Below are 19,241 nucleotides of genomic sequence, written 5' to 3'. Positions count from 1 at the left end.
CCAGCTGTCATCCTTCCTCCTTCTCGCCATTGGTAAAATGTCCCCAGTCTCTCTCAACTCCTGAGACTTTCGTTAATCCTGTCTAGCCACATCAGTTACACTCCTCCCACAACACGCACACACACACAAGAAAACACGCTTGTCAGTATTCTTATTTTTGGATGGTTCAGCCACTCATCTCCGACCCCCACAGCACCCACCACCCACACTCATACCATTCTCACATTCATTCCATTGAGCCACATCTGAGTCTTTCACAGATAGTCCTTCCTCTTAATCAGCAAGCAAAGGAAATCCAAGAAGAGATAGGTTTTGCTAAAAGAGGTATGAATACTTTCACTGCCCACCCAAAAGATAATCAGGGGGCAAAAAGACTAAGTTATGGAGGATTAATATGACTAACGACTTGATGGGTGACAAAATTGCTAAAGAAACCATCAATTTCTGGGCTGGGAGCAGTGACTCACACCTGTAATCCCAGCACTTTGGAAGGCCGAGGCAGGTGGATCATCTGAGTTCGGGAGTTGAAGACCAGCCTGGCCAACATGGTGAAACCCCATCTCTACTAAAAATACAGAAATTAGCCAGGCATGGTGGCCAGTAGTCCCAGCTACTCAGGAGGCTGAGGCAGGAGAATCGCTTGAACCCGGGAGGCGGAGGTTGCAGTGAGCCAAGATCCCGCCATTGCACTCCAGCCTCGGAAACAAGAGCGAAACTCCATCAAAAAAAAAAAAAAAAAATCACATTTCTGAATAAACACAACTTACACCACTTTTTATGAAAAGTATCATAAAATAATTAAAAAATAAGAACTAGAAAAAAACTCAGCTCCTAACAATCCTTCATAGTTATAAAATTAACTCTGTGATTCTTTTCGCCAAGCCACAGCGATATGATGAACAAACTGACAATCTTTTTAACATCTTCAAGACCAGCATTTCTCAACCTCAGCACTATTGATATTTTGGGCAGGGTAATTTTTGTTGTGGGGGCTGTCTTGTGCATTGCAGTATGTTTAGCAGTATCCCTGGATTTTATCCACTAGATGCCAGTAGCACTACTCCTCCAGTTGTGACAACCAAAAATGTCTTAAATTAACAAATGTCCCTTAGGGAGCTAAATTATCCCAGATTGAGAACCACTCTCATAGAGTAGATGGAAAACTTCTTGTCCTAGATCATGGGTCTTTCAATTATAGCCTATGGGCCAAAAGCAAAGCTCACTGCCTGTTTTTGTAAATAAAGTTTTATTGAAACACAGCTACATTCATTCACTTACTTAACATCTATGGCTGTTTTCTCACTGAGATAGCAGAGTTAAGTGGTGGTAACACAGATTGTATAACTCACAGATCAAAAATATTTACTGCCTGGCTTTTTACAAAAAAAAAAAATGTTTGGGCCGGGAGTGGTGGCTCTTGTCTGTAATCTCAGCATTTTGGGGGGCCAAGGTGGGAGGATTGCTTGAGCCCAGGAGTTCAAGACCAGCCTGGGCAAAATGGTGAGACCCTGTCTCTACAAAAAAAATACAAAAAATTAACCAGGCATGGTGGTGCACACCTGTAGTCCCAGCTACTCAAGAGGCTGAGGTGGAAGGATCACCTAAGCCAGGGAGATCAAGGCTGCAGTGAGTAGTAAGCATACACTGGTTAAGTTATGTAGGCAATTGAACAGATATAGCAGGGTATAGAGAAATTTCAAGGGCCTAAGAAAGCTGGGCATTATTACCAACTCTAGGCCTGAAGGGGAAAGGATCCTGATGACCCTGTAGGTCACAGCAGATTATACCTTGCCTCTCATTCTCCCTCCCTGCAAGCTCATGCAAGTGCTCCCCAAGGGCAAAATCCAAACAGAAGCAGGAGGGCAAAGCAGCCCACTGATATGGTCCATATAGGTCAGCCTCCCGGGTCATAGAGCAGCATGGTGAAGGAAAGAGAATGGCCGTGGGGGACAGAGCGGGACAGAAGATAGCCACATAGAGCCTTAATATACAAAACTGGTCAAAGCACATGTGCTGTGATGTTTAACAGGAGAAGCTACTGAGATCAACACAGGGTGGTCTTTTCTCTAATCCACGATTCAAGACTCCAAGGAATGCAGCTTGAAAATCCCACCCAAGACCTTCTTCTGGCTTTTAACTTCATTTGTATCCTTTCTAAAAACAAAGTCCCATGTTCAGATATTTTAATGCTGTCTTTTCTAACAAGCCACAATCCTCAAGCCTACTCTTACCATTCAAGCCTTCAACTCTCAGCCACAGACATGCTCCCCATTCCTCCTGCCCCCTACCTTCTCTGCTCATGCCCCCAAGCTGCAAAGCACTAACAGACAATTTTGAAAGACTCTAATTACTAAATCCACCACATTGTCATAATATCAAACAACAGGGACCTAACTGATGCTCAGTTTCTCATGACTTGGCTGAAACTTGTCCTTAATATCCTAATCGTAAAATCCGATGGCCTTTTTCCCAAGTCTTATCAACCTTTACCTCTCTATAGCAAAATACCTTTCCATCATTTCTTGCCTCTTGATTTACCTCTTCCTTTGGCTTCTATAGTGCAGTACATTCTATGATCTTCTTATAGTTCTTTGACCAACTCTTCTTCATATCCTTCATGGGTGCTTCTAATTGAAGGAAAGAAATTTCTCCAAAGAACCTAATAATCAATGATGGTTCCCAATAATACAATTAAAGCTGCATCTTGTAGAAAGCCGACAACATTTCCTGAAGGAATATACGTAGAATTTTAAATCTTATAAATAAGTAGTTTCCATACAACTGGTGCATAACAAGATATTGTTCCCATCCAAAATCTTCTTACATCATCCAATTATCTTAGTATTTCCATTTACCCAGTCTTGAAACCCCAAGGTAAGGAGGTAACAGATGTTTTAGAACTAGAAAGATCTTCACAATTTTCTAGCTCGATACCACCACTCTGGATGAGAAAATTAACTTCCTCATCTTCTTGGCCTTCAGGCAAGGATTCTAAGGAAATATCCCAGATCTTGCTTTTTCTAGCCTTTCTCTCTTGGCTTCAGAGACGTTATCACAGCTTTAGGTCTCTCCTCTGTGAGGTGTTACCAGATATTCATCTACAGGCTTTAGTCTTTATGGTGTTTAATTTTATGCATCCACTTGACTGGGTAACAGGGTGCCCAGACATTTGGTCAAACATTATTCTAGGTGTGTCTGTGAGGGTGTTTCTGGATGAGATTAACATCTAAATCAGTAGACTGGGTAAAGCAGATTGTGGGTGGGCCTCATCCAATCTGTTGAAAGCCTGAATAGAACAAAAGGCTGAGTAAGAGAGAATTCCTTCTGTCTCACTATGTTTGAGCTGGGACCTTGGTGTTTCCTGCCCTTGGACTTTAACTGAAACATTGGCTTCTTCCTGTGTCTAGAGCCTGCAGGTTTTCACACTAGAACTACATCATTGGCTCGCTTGGTTCTTAGGCCTTTGGAATGAGCCTGGACTACACCATAGGTTCTCCTGGGTCTCTAGCTTGCCGACTGTAGGTATTGAGACTTGTCAGCCTCCACAATCATGTGAGCCAATTTCTTATAATGAATTATATAATAAATGTATACTTTATTGATTCTGTTTCTCTTGAGACCCCTGACTAATATAATCTTCTTTTAAGCTCTAGTCCAATATTTTAAAAATCAAGTTTAAAATCTCTAACAGGGTGTAATACTTGGAGCTTCAACTCAAATACAAAATGAAATTTATAAAAATGTTATTCATCATTGATTTATTCAATCAATAAGGATTTATGAAATGTCTACTATGTGGTAGGTATTGTGCTAGGTATGCAAAATGGTGTCCTGGTCTCAAATAGTTCACTGAGCAGTAGAGTCAATAGATGTGTAACAAAAATGAAAAGTTACAATTTAATAGAAATGTACAAGACAAAGTGGTAGTCCAGAGAGCATAAAGGTGGGATTGGTAGCAGAGCCTTCCCTGTTGCTAGGGAAGGCTTCTTGATGAGTAAGGCTTGAAGAAGAGAGGGTTGCCAGGTGGGCAGAAAGGTTAATTTGATGGAAGGAAATAATATTTCAGGCAAAGAAAAAAAAAAGACATGTAAAAAGGAAGTGCTTGAATCAGATGTGGAAATGATAATAGTTAGATGTTGAAGAAGAGCAACAGCTAGTCATGATTTCCAAGTATTATGAGAATAAAATTATTGATGTATAAAGGTTCCCAATTTTTTCCCTGCCTACCTATTAAAAAGAGTTTTGGTATAACTTCTCTTAATCTTTTCCTTTCCTCTGTCTTTCAAGGAAGTCCTGCATTGCCAGTTTGTTTTTGTTGTTGTTGTTATTTTGAGACAGTCTCACTCACTCTGTCACCCAGGCCGGAATGCAGTGGAACGATCTCGGCTCACTACAACCTCTGCCTCCTGGGTTCAAGTGATTCGCCCACCTCACCCTTCTGAGTAGCTGGGACTACAGGTGCGGTGCCACCATACACTACTAATTTTTGTATTTTTAGTAGAGACGGGTTTTCACCATGTTGGCCAGGCTGGTATCAAACTCCTGACCTCAAGTGATCCACCCACCTCGGCATCCCAAAGTGCTAGGATTACAGGCATGAGCCACCACACCCAGCCAGTTTGAGGAATTTTTAATAGCAAAAAGGAAGGAAGGAAGGAAGGAAGGAAGGAAGGAAGGAAGGAAGGAAGGAAGGGAAGGAGGAAGCGAGGGAAGGAAGAATAGAAGGGGAAAAGGTTGAAAGAAAGGGAGGTAGGAAGAGAGGGAGGTGTGAGATGGAGAGATGGGGAAGGAGGAAAGGAAGAAAAGAGGAGGGGAGTAAGGGAGGAAGAGAATATTAGCAGATGAGAAAGATCAGAGATAGCAGGTACTTGAGATTTTTGGTAGTGGTGGTAGTGGTGTTTTTGTTTTTATTTGGAGAAAAGACTGTTGGAGAAAGTGACTGCAGTCGTGAAGGCAGTAGATGAAAGAAGAAAAATATCTATTTGAAGAATGATTACTGAGGGACTTTATAGTCTCCCTATGATGTGAGAAAAAATAGCTGTATTTGAGTTACTTTAAATTTGCATTTAAACCACACTATAATTAAAGGACTAAACCATACGTATCACCACTAAATAAACATTATAGGCATGTCTCCTAATTGCAAAACTTACTTTTTTTTTTTTTTTTTGAGATGAAGTCTCTGTCACCCAGACTGGACTGCAGTAGTGCCATCTTGGCTCACCGCAACCTCCACTTCCTGGATTCAAGTGATTCTCCTGCCTCAGCCTCCCGAGTAGCTGGAATTACAGGCACGCACCACCAAGCCTGGCTATTTTTTGTATTTTTAGTAGAGATGGGGTTTCATCATGTTGGCCAGGCTGGTCTCAAACTCCTGTCCTCAAGTGAGCTGTCCACCTCGGCCTCCCAAAGTGCTGGGATTACAGGCGTGGGCCACCACGCCTGGACTGCAACACTTAATCTCCAGCCATCTAGACATGAAACCTTAAAATAGTAGAATGGAATTTGAATGAAATTCATTTCTTTTTCTAGGTGTGGTATCAGCGTTATCAGTGTGCCTGGATCCAAGCAGCCGTTTCATATCCTGGACATGATAATTTGTTGAAGAATACGAACATGAGTGAACTCAGGCCGATGAGATGCAAGAAGATATTTTCTGGGAGTGAAGCTTTTTCACTTTTTCTGTTTAACAGACCATTTCTCTTTTTTCTGTGCTTCTTATGGAGCCACAGGCAGAGCCACACAAAAAAAGCAGATCTGAAATACAGATTCTTGGTGATTTTATTTGAATCCTGGATCAAGCCAAGCCTGAAGCCTGAATCTCAATTTACTTTACAATTGGACCAGATTAATCTTCCTAAGACATTATTTTGTTGCTAAAATGCTCCGAAGTGACCACACAATGAAGTCCAAATCATGTAGTCTTATGTTAAAATGATTTCATTACCTGGTACCAACCTGACCCCTTCATTCTTGCTCCCTCTGACTCTCCTTCTCATACACCATGCTCCAGCTCCATCGTGGGGGAAATAGGGGACGTTTGCTTATGTTATTTCCTATTTGGGGAATAATAATCTTTTTTTTTTCTTTGTAGAGACAGGGTCTCACCATTTTGCCCAGGCTGGCCTTGAACTCCTGGGCTCAAGTGATCTCTCACCTCAGCCTCCCAAAGTGCTGGGATTACACATGTGAGCCACCATGCCCAGCCTAAAATAATGATTTTGATACATTGATACTCTTTTTTTTTTTTTTTTTTTGAGGCAGACTCTTGCATTCTCGCCCAGGCTGAAGTGCAGTGGCGCGATCTCGGCTCACTGCAAGCTCCACCTCCTGGGTTCACACCATTCTGCCTCAGCCTCCTGAGTAGCTGGGACTACAGGCGCCCGCCACCACACCCAGCTAATTTTTTGTATTTTTAGTAGAGACGGGGTTTCACCATGTTAGCCAGGATGGTCTCGATCTTCTGACCTTGTGATCCTCCCACCTCGGCCTCCCAAAGTGCTGGGATTACAGGCGTGAGCCACCACGCCTGGCAATAATCTTCATTAGTTCTAAGCTTTAGCTCAAATACAACCATGTTTTATGACGAAGAAATCAATCTGTGCTTCTTTCAGATTCACATGGTCATCTGTTTGTAATGCTTCCATGGTACCTACCATGTACCACCTTTTACTGTAAACTCCATTGTAAATTCCTTACAGACAATGTTTAGGGATCATACAAAAACATTTATTGAGTATCTACAATGTATTGGGCATTACACCATGTTCTGGATGATAAAAAGAGGAAACAAATAATATTCTTTTATCATATTCTCTGTGCCAGGCCCTATTCTAAGTTCTCTTTCTCTCTCTCTCTCTCTCTCTCTCTATATATATATATATATATATGCACACACACACATACATACATACATACATACATATATATAAACCTACTTAGCCTTCATAACAGCCATATGAAGCAGATGTTATTTGTTTCTCCCATTTGACATATGAGAAAACTAGGGAACAGAGAGATTGAATAAATTGTTCAAGTTGTTACAAGTTGTAAGTGCAAAAGTAAATATTCAAACCCAGGCAGTCTAGCACCAGAGGCTGGAGTCAACTACTATACTAACTCCTGGTGCTTTTTATTTAGAGCAATAGACCATTGGTCACTAATATTTGCAGCACTTATAAATGTGTTTGACAAAAAAAGTAAGTATTTTTATAGTAAATATAACTCAATCCAAGAAAAAATAATTCCTACTCAATTATTATAGCAGCTAAAAATACTTCAAAGTCATTTTTCACTAATTGGTTAAAATATTTTAAGTAACATAAGTACATACGTTTCTGCAGACTGAATTTTTATTTTTACCTAATTACCATAGCCAGCCTCAAAGATGACCACCAATGACCCCAGTTCCCCCTGTATGGTTCACTCCCATGTTTTACCAGGGTTAGTGTGTGTGACCAACAGAATGTGGCAGAGGTACTGATATATTATTTCTAAACCTAAGTTATAAGAAGACTGTGCATTCTGTCTTGGATTCTCTCTCTCTTATCCCATCCCCAACCCCCATTCCATGCTTTTGGGGAAGCCAGCTGCTATGTCATTAGGTAATCTGGACAACCTGTGGAGAAGCCGATGGCAAGAACTGAAGTCTCCAGCGAGAAGAAACTGAGGCCTGCCAACAACTACACCAGTGAGCTGGGAAGCCCATCTTTCCCCAGTTAATCCATCAGATGAGATTGCAGCCCCAACTGACAGCTGACTACAACCTCATGACAGGTGTCTATGGGCTAAATTGTGCCCCCTCAAATTCATATGTTGACATCCTAACCCCCCCACCACCTCAGAATGTGGAGGCATTTGCAGATAGAGCCTCTAAAGAAGTAATTAAGGTTAAATGAAGCCATACAGCTTGGCCCTAATTCATGTGACTATATTTGGAGACAGGGCCTTCAAAGAAGTGATTAAGTTAAAGTGAGATTAAAATTTTATCTGACTGGGGCAGGGTGCAATGGCTTACACCTGTAATCCCAACATTTTGGGAGGACAAGGCAGGTGGATAACTTGAGGCCAGGAGTTCGAGACCAGCCTGGGCAACATGACAAAACCACGTCTCTACTAAAAATACAAAAATTAGCCAGGCGTGGTGGTGTATGCCTGTAATCCCAGCTACTTGGGAGGCTGAGGCAGGAGAAGAACTTGAGCCAGGGAGGTGGAGGCTGCAGTGAGCCAAGATTGCACCACTGCACTCCAGCCTGGGTGTCAGAGTGAGACTCCATCTCAAAAAAAAAAAAAAAAAATTAATCTGACTGGAATGCTTATAAATTTTCACTCAAAAAGAGACACAGAAGTGCATGTGCACAGAGGGACAACCATGTGAAGAGGGAGCAAGAGGACAAGCATCTGCAATCCAAGGACGGAGACCTCAGAGGAAACCTTGGTCTTGGACTTCTGGCCTCCAGAATGCATGTTTCTGTTATTTAAGGCACCTGTGCTGTTGTGTTCTGTGACAGCAGCCCTAGCAAACAAATAAGATACTTTGAGCCAGAACCACCCAGTGAATCTGCTTCTGGATTCCTCATCCCCAGAAATTTATGAAATAATAAATTGTTGTTTTAAGCTGCTAAATTTTAGGGTAATTTGTTATGCAACTATAGATAAATGATAACCCCTCAGTTGTTTGGATTCCTTGTAATATGATGAGCAGTGATTTGTCTTTCGGAATCCATGTCATCATTAAATGCTATATTGTTTTTGGCGTATGTTAGACAATTTTGTTGTCTGAATTTCCCAGAAACTACCTGTAAGGTTTATTTTTTCATTCGCATTATTTCATTTTAAGAGAAGAGAATAGCATATAAACAATTGATTAAACCATACATACCTTAAAAATCATCTAGAATTTTTACATTCCCTTTAACATGTGTTGTCTATTTTCTATACTGATGATATATACTCTTCAGATATTGAACACTGCATTTGGAAACACATATTATTCTATGTTCCTCATGAAATGGAAAGCCTCAGAGATACAAAGAAATTACCTCTGTCCCACCTTGTCACTACTTATTGTACAAAACTCAGTTGAGGTTCTTTAAACTGTTTTTAAGTTCTGATGATGAATATTAAACCAACATGCTTCACCTATTTACTAATTTATTTCTGAATTCACCCAACCAGCATTTCTTTAATGACTATAGTACGTTAGACACTGTTACAGACATTGAGAATAGCCGTAAAAAACACAGATAAACTGTCTCTGCTCATGGAACTTGTGGAAAGAGACAGCAATAAGCAAGAAAAATAAGTAAAATATATAACATGCCGGATGGTGGTAAGTGCAGGAAAACTGCAATACCAGAGCCCAGAAACTTTTCTGGCCACAATCACCTCCCCTTAGATTGTAGAAATGTGAAGATATTGGGCTGGTAAATAGAGAAGTCTCTTGTAAATAATTCTATATTAATAGTTTTTACTAAATTTTGTAAAGATTCAAGGGCATAGAAATATAATCTTCTTTCAGTTTGGCTCCTTTCTTAACTAATTTTGTGATTTCTTTTAACATGTAATGCTTTTTTGCAGTTATATTCAAGATTTTTAAGACCTTATGAACAAAAAAACAGTATTTATTTGAAATGTCTTCCATTGTGATAAATTGGCATTAAAGTTAAAAGCACATTAGGTATCAATGTTTTATCTTTGAGAATGAGATTATAATTACAGGAAATTTTATCACCAAGTGATGATAGCCTGTTCTCTCATTACAATCTGAGAAGATAACAGTGTTAAAACTAAATACAACACCAACATGGTGAAATCCCATCTCTACTAAAATACAAAAATTAGCCAGGCATGGTGGTGGGCACCTGCAATCTCAGCTACCTGGGAGGCTGAAGCAGGAGAATTGCTTGAACCCAGGAGGCAGAAGTTGCAATGAGCCAAGATTGTACCATTGCACTCCAGCCTGGGCAACAAGAGCGAAATTCCGTCTCAAAAAAGAAAAAAAAAAAAAAAAAAAAAAAAAAAACAGCCGGTCGCAGTGGCTCACACCTGTAATCCCAACACTTTGGGAAGCCAAGCCAGGTGGATCACGAGGTCAGGAAGTCAAGACTTGACCAGCCAACATGGTGAAACCCCGTCTCTACTAAAAATACAAAAACTAGCTGGACATGGTGGCGGGGGCCTGTAATCCCAGCTACTCAGCAGGCTGCGGCAGGAGAATTGCTTGAACCCAAAAGGCAGAGGTTGCAGTGAGCTGAAATCGCGCCACTGTGGGCAACAGAGCAAGATTTAAAAACAGCAACAACAACAACAACAACAACAACACTAAACTAAACTAAATGCAACATTGACACGGTAAGGTTCTCTAAGGAGATGAGCCTTCAGAACAGAGAAATCTGTCTGACAACATACCCATGAAAAATGCTCTGTGTATGTGTGCGTGTGGAGTGTGGTGTGTGTGTGTGTGTGTGTGTGTGTGTGTGTGTGTAGTGGGGAGAGAGAAGGAGTAAGTTAGTTTGCTGGACATGATACTCACATGGTTATGGGTAGGGAGAGCAGAATAGGCAAAGAGCCAGAAAACTAAGCAATAAAAAAGCCTTGGTGTGTGGTCAGGCATGAAGTTGTAGTTTGGGCCTTCAGTGACTCCGGCAATGAGTTAATAAGCCAATGAAGTATGTGTCCATTTGAGATGCTCAGAGGCCAAAGCACTTGAAACAAAGTGATTTACGTGACCAATTTCTCCTGAGTCAGGATGGTATTCTTGTTTCCCAAGATGCCTTAAATATTTATCAGAGCCATCTGTACTATTGAAAAAATAATCTCCACAAAGCTCTCAAGACCACCTCCATATACACAATACTGGTAAATGGCATTAAAATAAAATGAAAATAAAATGATCTATAGTGGGTGGTAATCTATCCTTCCTCCTACCACCTCCCAAAACTAAAAGCCATAAACTGAATAGTAGATGCTCTTTATTTTTGTTATGAGTCAGCAGGTTTGGCAATTTCTCTAAAGTCAGAAATATTCACTGGGGATGAAGTACATTTCTATCTAAAAATACAAATGTTTTTTCAAAGAACAGCATTCATCTCAGAAAAAGGCAATATTAGTCACAAAACACACCAACAAAATGTTCTCAGGGTTCCAAAGTCTCTGAACAGGTGTCATACTTGGGAAATAAAAATACACCAATAAGGGGCCGGGTGCAGTGGCTCACGCCTATAATCCCAACATTTTGGGAGGCCGAGGCGGATGGATCACTTGAGGTCAGGAGCTCGAGATCCACATGGCCAACATGGTGAAACCCCATCTCTACTAAAAATACAAAAATTAGCCAAGCATGGTAGCACATGCCTGTAGTCCCAGTTGCTCAGGAGGCTGAGGCAGGAGAATCGCTTGAACCTGGGAGGCAGAGGCTGCAGTGAGCTGAGATCATGCCACTGCACTCCAGCCTGGGTGACAGAGCAAGACCCTGTCTCAAAAAAAAAAAAAAAAAAAAAAAAAATCACCAATAGGAGAATCACAGCAAGTCATTCGCATATCAAATCTGGGTTCAATTCTTGCTCACCACTAATTGGCTGAGTGACCTGGAGTGTGTTGTCTTACTTTCTCAAGTCTCAGGCTCTTCATTTGTAATAATATTATACTAAAACCACCTGTGTCCTAGCATTGCCATGAGGATTAAACGAGCTACAACAAGTAAGGTCCAGGCTAAGCACATTTAATCCAAACATCTGAAATCTGAAATTCTCCAAAATCTGCAATTTTTTGAGCATTGACTTGACACCACAGTAGAAAATTCCACACCTGACCTCACGTGACAGGTGCACAAAATTATTTAAAATATTATATAAAATTACCTTCAGGCTATGTATACAAGGTGTATATGAAAAATAAATGAATTTTGTGTTTAGGCTTGGGTCCCATCCCTGAGATGTCTCATTAGATACATGCCAATATTTCAAAATCCAAAATAATCTGAAATCTGAAATACTTCTGGTCCCAAGAATTTTGGTTTTGGTTTTGTTTTCATTTGAGTCCTGCTCTGTGACCCACATTGGAGTGCAGTAGTGAGATCACAGCTCATTCTAACCTTGAAGGCCCAGGCGTGAGCAATTCTTCTGCCTCAGCCTCCCAAGTATATGAAACTACAGGAATGCACCACCATGCCAAGCTAATATGTTTTTTGTTTTGGTTTTTTTGGTTTTGTTTTGTTTTGTTTTGTTCGAGACAGGGTCTCACTCTGTCACCCAGACTGGAGTGCAGGAGCACGATCTCAGCTCACTACAACCTCCACCTCTTGGGTTCAAGCGATTCTCTGGCCTCAGCCTCCTGAGTAGCTGGGATTACAAGCGCCCACCACTACTGCCCAGCTAATTTTTGTGTTTTTAGTAGAGACGGGGTTTCACCATGTTGGCCAGGCTGGTCTTGAACTCCTGACTTCAAATGATCCACCTGCCTCAGCCTCCCAAAGTGCTGGGACTATAGGCATGAGCCACCGCACCTGGCCAATTTTTCAAATATTTTTTGTAGAGACAGGGTCTCACTATGTGGCCCAGGATAGTCTCAAACTCCTTGTTTCAAGTGATCCTCCTCCCTCAGCCTCCCAAGTAGCTGGGACTATAGGGATATGCCACCATGCCTGGCAATTTGTGTGTGTGTGTGTGTGTGTGTGTCTGTGTGTGTGTGTGTGTGTGTGTGTAGAAACAGTGTCTTGCTATGTTGCCTAGGTTGGTCCTAATCTCCTGGTCTCAAGCAATCCTCCTGCCTCAGCCTCCCAGAGTGCTGACATTACAGGAATAAGCCTCTGCACCCAGCTTGCCCCAAGCATTTTGGATAAGGGATATTCAACCTGTATTTGGAACACAGAAACTGCCTAACAAAAATTAGCTGTTATTATTTCAGAACAATATTTCTCAGTGTGTGGTCCCTGGACCAGCAGCCTCAGCATCCCCTGGGAACTTGTCAGAAATGCCAGTTCTCAGATTCCATGAAGTGAATCAGAAGCTCTGGGGGTGGAACCCAGACCTCTGTTTAACAAGCGCACATGATGATTCTGGTATGCACTGAACGAAGTTTGAGAACCACGCTCATAGGATATAGGGTAAAACAGGAAATAAATTTTAATATAATTTATCATTAAGAACTTTAATTTTTTATTTTAATTTTTTTCTTTTTTTAATTGGCTTATTTCTACAAGAAAATGGGGACTTTTTTGTAAATTACTAGAAAAAGAATTTCAGCAGTAGCTTGAGAACATTAGGATTTTTGTAGGATAACTCTTACCATCTTATTTTTCATTTTGCCAGATAGAATGCTTAACACCAAACGACCATATTCCAAGAGATCTATTATGAAACTGTGTTAATATATTTTGTAAAGCCAAAGATATGGTAGAAAAACTCATCTAAAAGAGGGAGAGCCCACAGTATTGGTGATAATCATGAGACTCTACACTTGAACACAGCCTAGTATTCACCAGTCTTACCTGTTTCCATACACAATCCTGTCACACTGGAGGATGTGTATATGCTGAATCAGCGACAAAGCTAGTATAGGCACGTGACACAGGATTTCCAAGTGTGCATTTTGTTGCTTGAGTATAGTCAGTAAGCTCTGTACACAGTTAAAGGTAAAGTTGCCATTTAGAACAAAATGAACCAAAGTGTATATTTTTGTTACTTCATCCTCCACATTGCTGCCATAGAGATTTTTCTAAAGTGCACTTGTAATCATGCCACCACTCAGCTTAAAAGACTTAAATGGCTTCCTTCCACCTGGCACACGAGGGCCCCGTCGACCTACTACATGGCCCTCATCCTACAATTACACAACCTCCACAAAGCCTTCCTTGACAGCCCACCTTCCATCACTAAGGACTTGGTTTCTCCTTCCTCTAAGCTTCCTGAGCACTGTGTTCATATCTCTTGCAGTAATTTTACATTGCATTATAATAGTTATTTAAATATCAGTCTCTCAGCAAGACTTTTGCTTAACTTTTACTGACAGCAAAAAGTGCATTTTCTTTTTTTCTTTTTTCTTTTTCTTTCTTTTTTTTTTTGAAATGGAGTTTGGCTCTTGTCGCCCAGGCTGGAGTGCAATGGCATGATCTCGGCTCACTGCAACCTCCATCTCCTGGGTTCAAGTGACTTTCCTGCCTCAGCCTCCCGAGTAGCTGGGATGACAGGCACCCGCCTCTACGGCTGGCTAATTTTTTGTATTTTTAGTAAAGACGGGGTTTCACCATGTTGACCAGGCTGGTCTTGAACTCTGTCTCACCAAAAACAAAAAAAGGGAGATAGAGAGATATGAAAATCTGTGATAATGAAAATCGAACTTCAATTTGGACTCCTGGTACCTCCTCCCCAGGCCTTTTCTTAGAAAATTCAACCTATAGGCTTTTTGTAACTGAGATCTGCTCACCCACTGGCCAGGTCTTTTGGGAGATTTTGGCAAGAAGGTTTTCATCGCTTCCATCTTCTTCCACATCTGCCTAATGCAGGGAAATCCAAATGTCTTTATCAACAAAATAGTGGGAAATGGCCAGGTGTGGTGGTTCATGCCTGTAATCCCAGCACTTTGGGAAGCCAAGGTGGGCAGATCACCTGAGGCCAGGAGTTTGAGACCGGCCTGGCCAACATGATAAAACCCCATCTATACTAATAATACAAAAATTAGCTGGGTGTGCTGGCACACGCCTGTAATCCCAGCTACTCGGGAGACTGAGGCATGAGAATCGCTTGAACCCAGGAGGCGGAGGTTGCAGTGAGCTGAGATTGCACCACTGTACTCCAGCCTGGGCGACAGAGTGAAACTGTGCCTCAAAAAAAGAAAAAAAAATAGTGGGAAATACAGATTTCTCCCTGGCATTCCCTCTCCTAGTTAAGCCAAGCCTTTCCTACAAATTCCTCCTTGCTCAATTAATACCAAACACTCTGCTGGTCTAATAGTAAGCAATTTTAAGAGAAGAGATTGTTGTCGGCATCTAACCACGTGTAGATGAGGAAACAGACGGTTCTGACATCCCCAAATGTACAGGAAAAGGAGAGAAACAAGTCCAAAGTCCTCCCCCTCCCATGAGAAGAACAGTAGGAAGGATTTTCACAATATGATTTTGGCATTTTCCCAAAAGACATAACCTTTTTCTCTTCTGGTCCCCCTTTACTATGGTTCACTGATAAAGACTGTGAAATTAGTTGGGCCTTCCTAGCAGGCAGAAGGCAAGGATCAGTAATCTCATGACCTAAGACCAGGCCCTCAACCTTGGAGAATTTAGTAATTGTATTATCAGGGCTCTGTGTCCACTGTATATGCTACATTCTTCAGCAACCTCTGGGGGCAGAAAAAGATTATCAGTAATAAGTGATACGATTATGAAGCAGAGAACAATCAGCACCTCACAACATTCTCCTAAGGGAGAAAAAAAAAAAAACTTACTTTGAATCAAAGCTGACCATAATCAAATCTGCCTCCCAAGGTCAAGGAACAGGAGAAGGATATCATTCACGTTCCTGGGAAAATAAGTCTCTGTATGGGCCCCTTTCAGTCACAGAGACTGGTAGGCAGGGAGGGATGAGACCCCAAGTCGATGGGTTGTCGGAGCAAGAGCTTGTTAGTTTGCCTTTGGATATGTGAGTAGATTTCCCAGAGCAGAGATTGATGTAGAGTCTATCTCCATTTCTGAGGGTATGTGGGGGGACTCCAGAAGTAAAGGAGAAAGCAAAAGATGATAGCCAAGCTACATAGTGATGGCTGAAGATTGTCTTTTGTGTTTTGTTTTGTTTCCATTTTCCATTGACAATATCTGCTCTGCTAGGATATAAACCCCCATCTGTGTTATCAAATGTGCAGTGAAGACTGTTACACATAAAGTCCCCATGAGGGTTTTTTCTTTTTTTCATATAATTCAAAGCAAAGGGGATGAGTGTGGCATTTGGTTCAGCATGGAGCACAGAGAAGGGAACTGGCATAGGAGATGTGAGGTTATGGAATGAAGATGGAGTGAGTTTTCCCACAAGCTGAAAGCAGGAGCCAGGCCTGAACCGACAGTAATCCCTGAGAAGATACAGATATCTCAGGGAAGACAGAGAACAGAGGGTCTGTGCTGACATCTGGGTTGTATTAGTACGCGGTTGTTATTGTTATTATTCTCCACTGGGGAGCCAAAGAGAACACATACAGCACAGCTCCCAAATACATCAAAGGCATGGGGGACCCCTTATCTCTGGGGGATGGATTTGTGAGAGGTATCATTGCCAGCTCTCAATATGCCCCTAAGAATCACTAACTTTTATTCCTACTCAGGACCCAGGGTAAGAAGGGTGGGAAATGTTGCCGTTTCCCGGGGCTGACATGCGGGTAGCTAGGAACATCTCATACCAGTACCTACAAATGGCCACTCGCTCTTCAACCTTAATCTAATGGAAGGTGAACAGCAGGTACCCTGAAGGGGGCCCTTCCTTTTCCAGAAACTGAAATCTGTCAGAGGGCGCTGTGACTCCACAGAATTGAGTACTTCCGAGCCAATCTGCACTATCATGAGGAGCGCAGTCCCTGTGCCCCGCTGACCTGCTTGGCAAGGGCATGGTTCCGGCCGCATGTGAACAGCACCTGCATCATTCTTTCTTTCTGTGAGTGAAGAAATCTTAGTGCTAGGACTTTGCACCATTGCACATGTAAAATGTGCTTCTCTAAAGAGCCAGCATTAGAAAGTATTTTACAAAAAAACTTTTCTTATTAGGAATTTCCTATCTCCTCATCTAAAAAGTCTCCCACATGTGGTTTTGTGGTAGTTGCCCCAGCTCTTTGACGTTAGCAGCAAAGCCCTCAGCAGTCTGGGTTTCAATTTGTGAAATTCAAATCCGCAAATATTTACAAGGGTTGCTGGTGGCCAATGTGCCTTCTACACCATCACAAAATGAGGTAGGAATCTAAGGTTTCATGGTACATACTTAGAAGGCGCAGACAGTCAGGTATCTCATAAGCTCTTTTCAGAGACTCTAGTGGTTCTTTTTCTTTGTTCTTTTTCCCTTCTTTTTTCTTTCTTTAGTTAGCTATGTGTTTTCTTCCAGGGGGAATGAAAGCTTTTAACATTCAAATACCATGGAGGCCTGCTGATACACTCTTAACTGCTATAAGAAGCCCAAAGCAACTATGTTACATACATGGTACTCTTGGTTTTCACGAAGAACGGTATGTACAATTCCTTATCAGGCATCATCTGCTATAGACTTACACTAAGAGGCTTTGACCAACTTTTTTCGTGGATGAGAAAGCAAGTACTTTCAATTGTTCTTTTTCTATTTCTGTCTTTTTTTTTTTTTTTTTTTTTTACAATTGAAACTGTGAACTGATAGTCCCAATTGTTGAAGTCATTATTTCTGTTCATCAAATGCTTCCCATTCCTCTTTCCTGAGCACATGGTGGGGCTGCATATGGCTTTGTGGTGAGTGGGACAACATGATTAGTTCTGGCCATGGATTTAACAGTAGAAATAAGATGTATTGCTCCAAGACTGGAACACTGAATTGTTCAAGAAAAACCTTCCAGAGCCATTGTTCCCTTGGCCCTAGTGACCAGCACCTTTTTCTGTGTGTGCTCCATTAAACTGGGTCCTGCAGAGAAGGTGATACAGATGGGCAGACAGTAAGAGCAAGAAATAAATCTTTGTTGTCTTAAGCTACTAGAGTTGAGAGTTGGCTGGGCGCGGTGGCTCACGCCTGTAATCCCAGCACTTTGGGAGGCTGAGGCGGGCAAATCACGAGGTCAGGAGTTCAAGACCAGCCTGGTCAATATGGTGAAACCCTGTCTTTACTAAAAATACAAAAATTAGCCGGGCGTGGTGGCATGCGCCTGTAGTCCCAGCTACTTGGGAGGCTGAGGCGGAAGAATCGCTTGAACCCAGGAGGCAGAGGTTGCAGTGAGCCGAGATCACGCCACTGCACTCCAGCCTGGGCGACAGAGCAAGATTCTGTCTCAAAAAGAAAAAAAAAAAAAAAAGAAACCCCATCTCTACTAAAAATACGAAAATTAGCCAGCGTGGTGGTGCATGCCTGTAATCCCAGCTACTCAGGAAGCTCAAGCAGGAGAATCACTTGAGCCCAGGAGGCGGAAGTTGCAGTGAGCCAAGACTGTACCACTGCACTCCAGCCTGGGCAACAGAGCAAGATTCAGTCTAAAAAAAAAAAAAAAAAAAAAAGTTGAGAGTTGCTTGTTACCACAATGTAAACTAGTTTACCCCATTGATGTAAAACCTGTGACAGAAAGGAAAACAACCTCAGGATGAAGCCAACCCCATAGATAGCAGAATGGAAAAAGTAAACAGCGTTCTGGCCATCACTGAGCCACTGGATCAACCCTCATCTGCAGGCCACTCTAATGCTAGACTTAGTAATTATGTAAGGAATAAATTCCCTCATAATTAAATCCACTTGAATCAAGAGCACCTGAACTGATACAGTGATTATGTTCCATGTTATGTGACTCCCCCACCAACAGTGGCTGTATCTTAGTGAAATAAGAGAGGGCACTAGACCTTAGAGCAAACAATATGTAGGCTGGTCGGGGTCTATGAAGTAGCCATACACAGAAGTTCTGTCTAGTGAGGACACCAGATACAGGGAAGTAACTGACCAAAATTAATACCATTTGGCTTCAAATCCTTCAGTAAGTCTATCGGTAGCAGCAGTTGAATCAGAAGCAGAGGAGGCCAGGCATGTTGGCTCACACCTGTAATTCCAGCATTTTGGGAGGCTGAGGTGGGCAGATCACCTGAGGTCAGGAGTTCGAGACTAGCCTGGTCAACATAAAGAAACCCCGTCTCTACTAAAAATACAAAAATTAGCTGGGCGTGGTGGCACACACCTCTAGTACCACCTACTCGGAAGGCTGAGGCAGAAGAATCACTTGAACCTGGGAGGCGGAGCTTGCAGTGAGCCAAGATTGCGCCACTGCACTCAAGCCTGGGTGACAGAGTGAGACGCTGTCTCAAAAAAAAAAAAAAGAAGAAGAAGAAGCAGAGGAGAGCTGCACATTGTGAGGCAGGCAGGGAGAGAATTGGAGAGTATGTCTCTCTCCTTTTCGAATTGTAGCATGCCCCCCAAGTCATTTCAAAATTCCCCCAACATTCTAGGGGAAAATTCATGAGGAGAATATGAGAGAATATAAAATAGATGTGATAGAATATGAAATCAGTCACATAAATTGTGGGACATAGTCAAAGTTTGTGTTTTCTAATTCAA

The 19,241-nt window shown here is 41.8% G+C and overlaps 1 protein-coding gene across 2 annotated transcripts in view; it reads right to left on the bottom strand.

Annotated features, from left to right (window-relative positions):
- Positions 1–19,241, bottom strand: part of TMC1 (transmembrane channel like 1) — a 316,690-nt gene that overhangs the window by 224,425 nt on the left and 73,024 nt on the right. The window contains exon 1 of one of the 2 annotated variants that reach the window (XM_017014256.2): positions 5,948–6,116. The exons of the other annotated variant lie outside the window; for it this stretch is intronic. The gene's annotated coding sequence lies outside the window, so the exon portion shown is untranslated. Of the gene's footprint in view, positions 1–5,947; positions 6,117–19,241 lie in introns of those variants that run through there. 2 annotated transcript variants of the gene reach the window in all.

This window comes from Homo sapiens, chromosome 9 (genome assembly GCF_000001405.40).
Source record: "Homo sapiens chromosome 9, GRCh38.p14 Primary Assembly".
Taxonomy (NCBI): Eukaryota; Metazoa; Chordata; class Mammalia; order Primates; family Hominidae; genus Homo; species Homo sapiens.
This window is presented reverse-complemented; position numbering and strand designations above follow the sequence as displayed.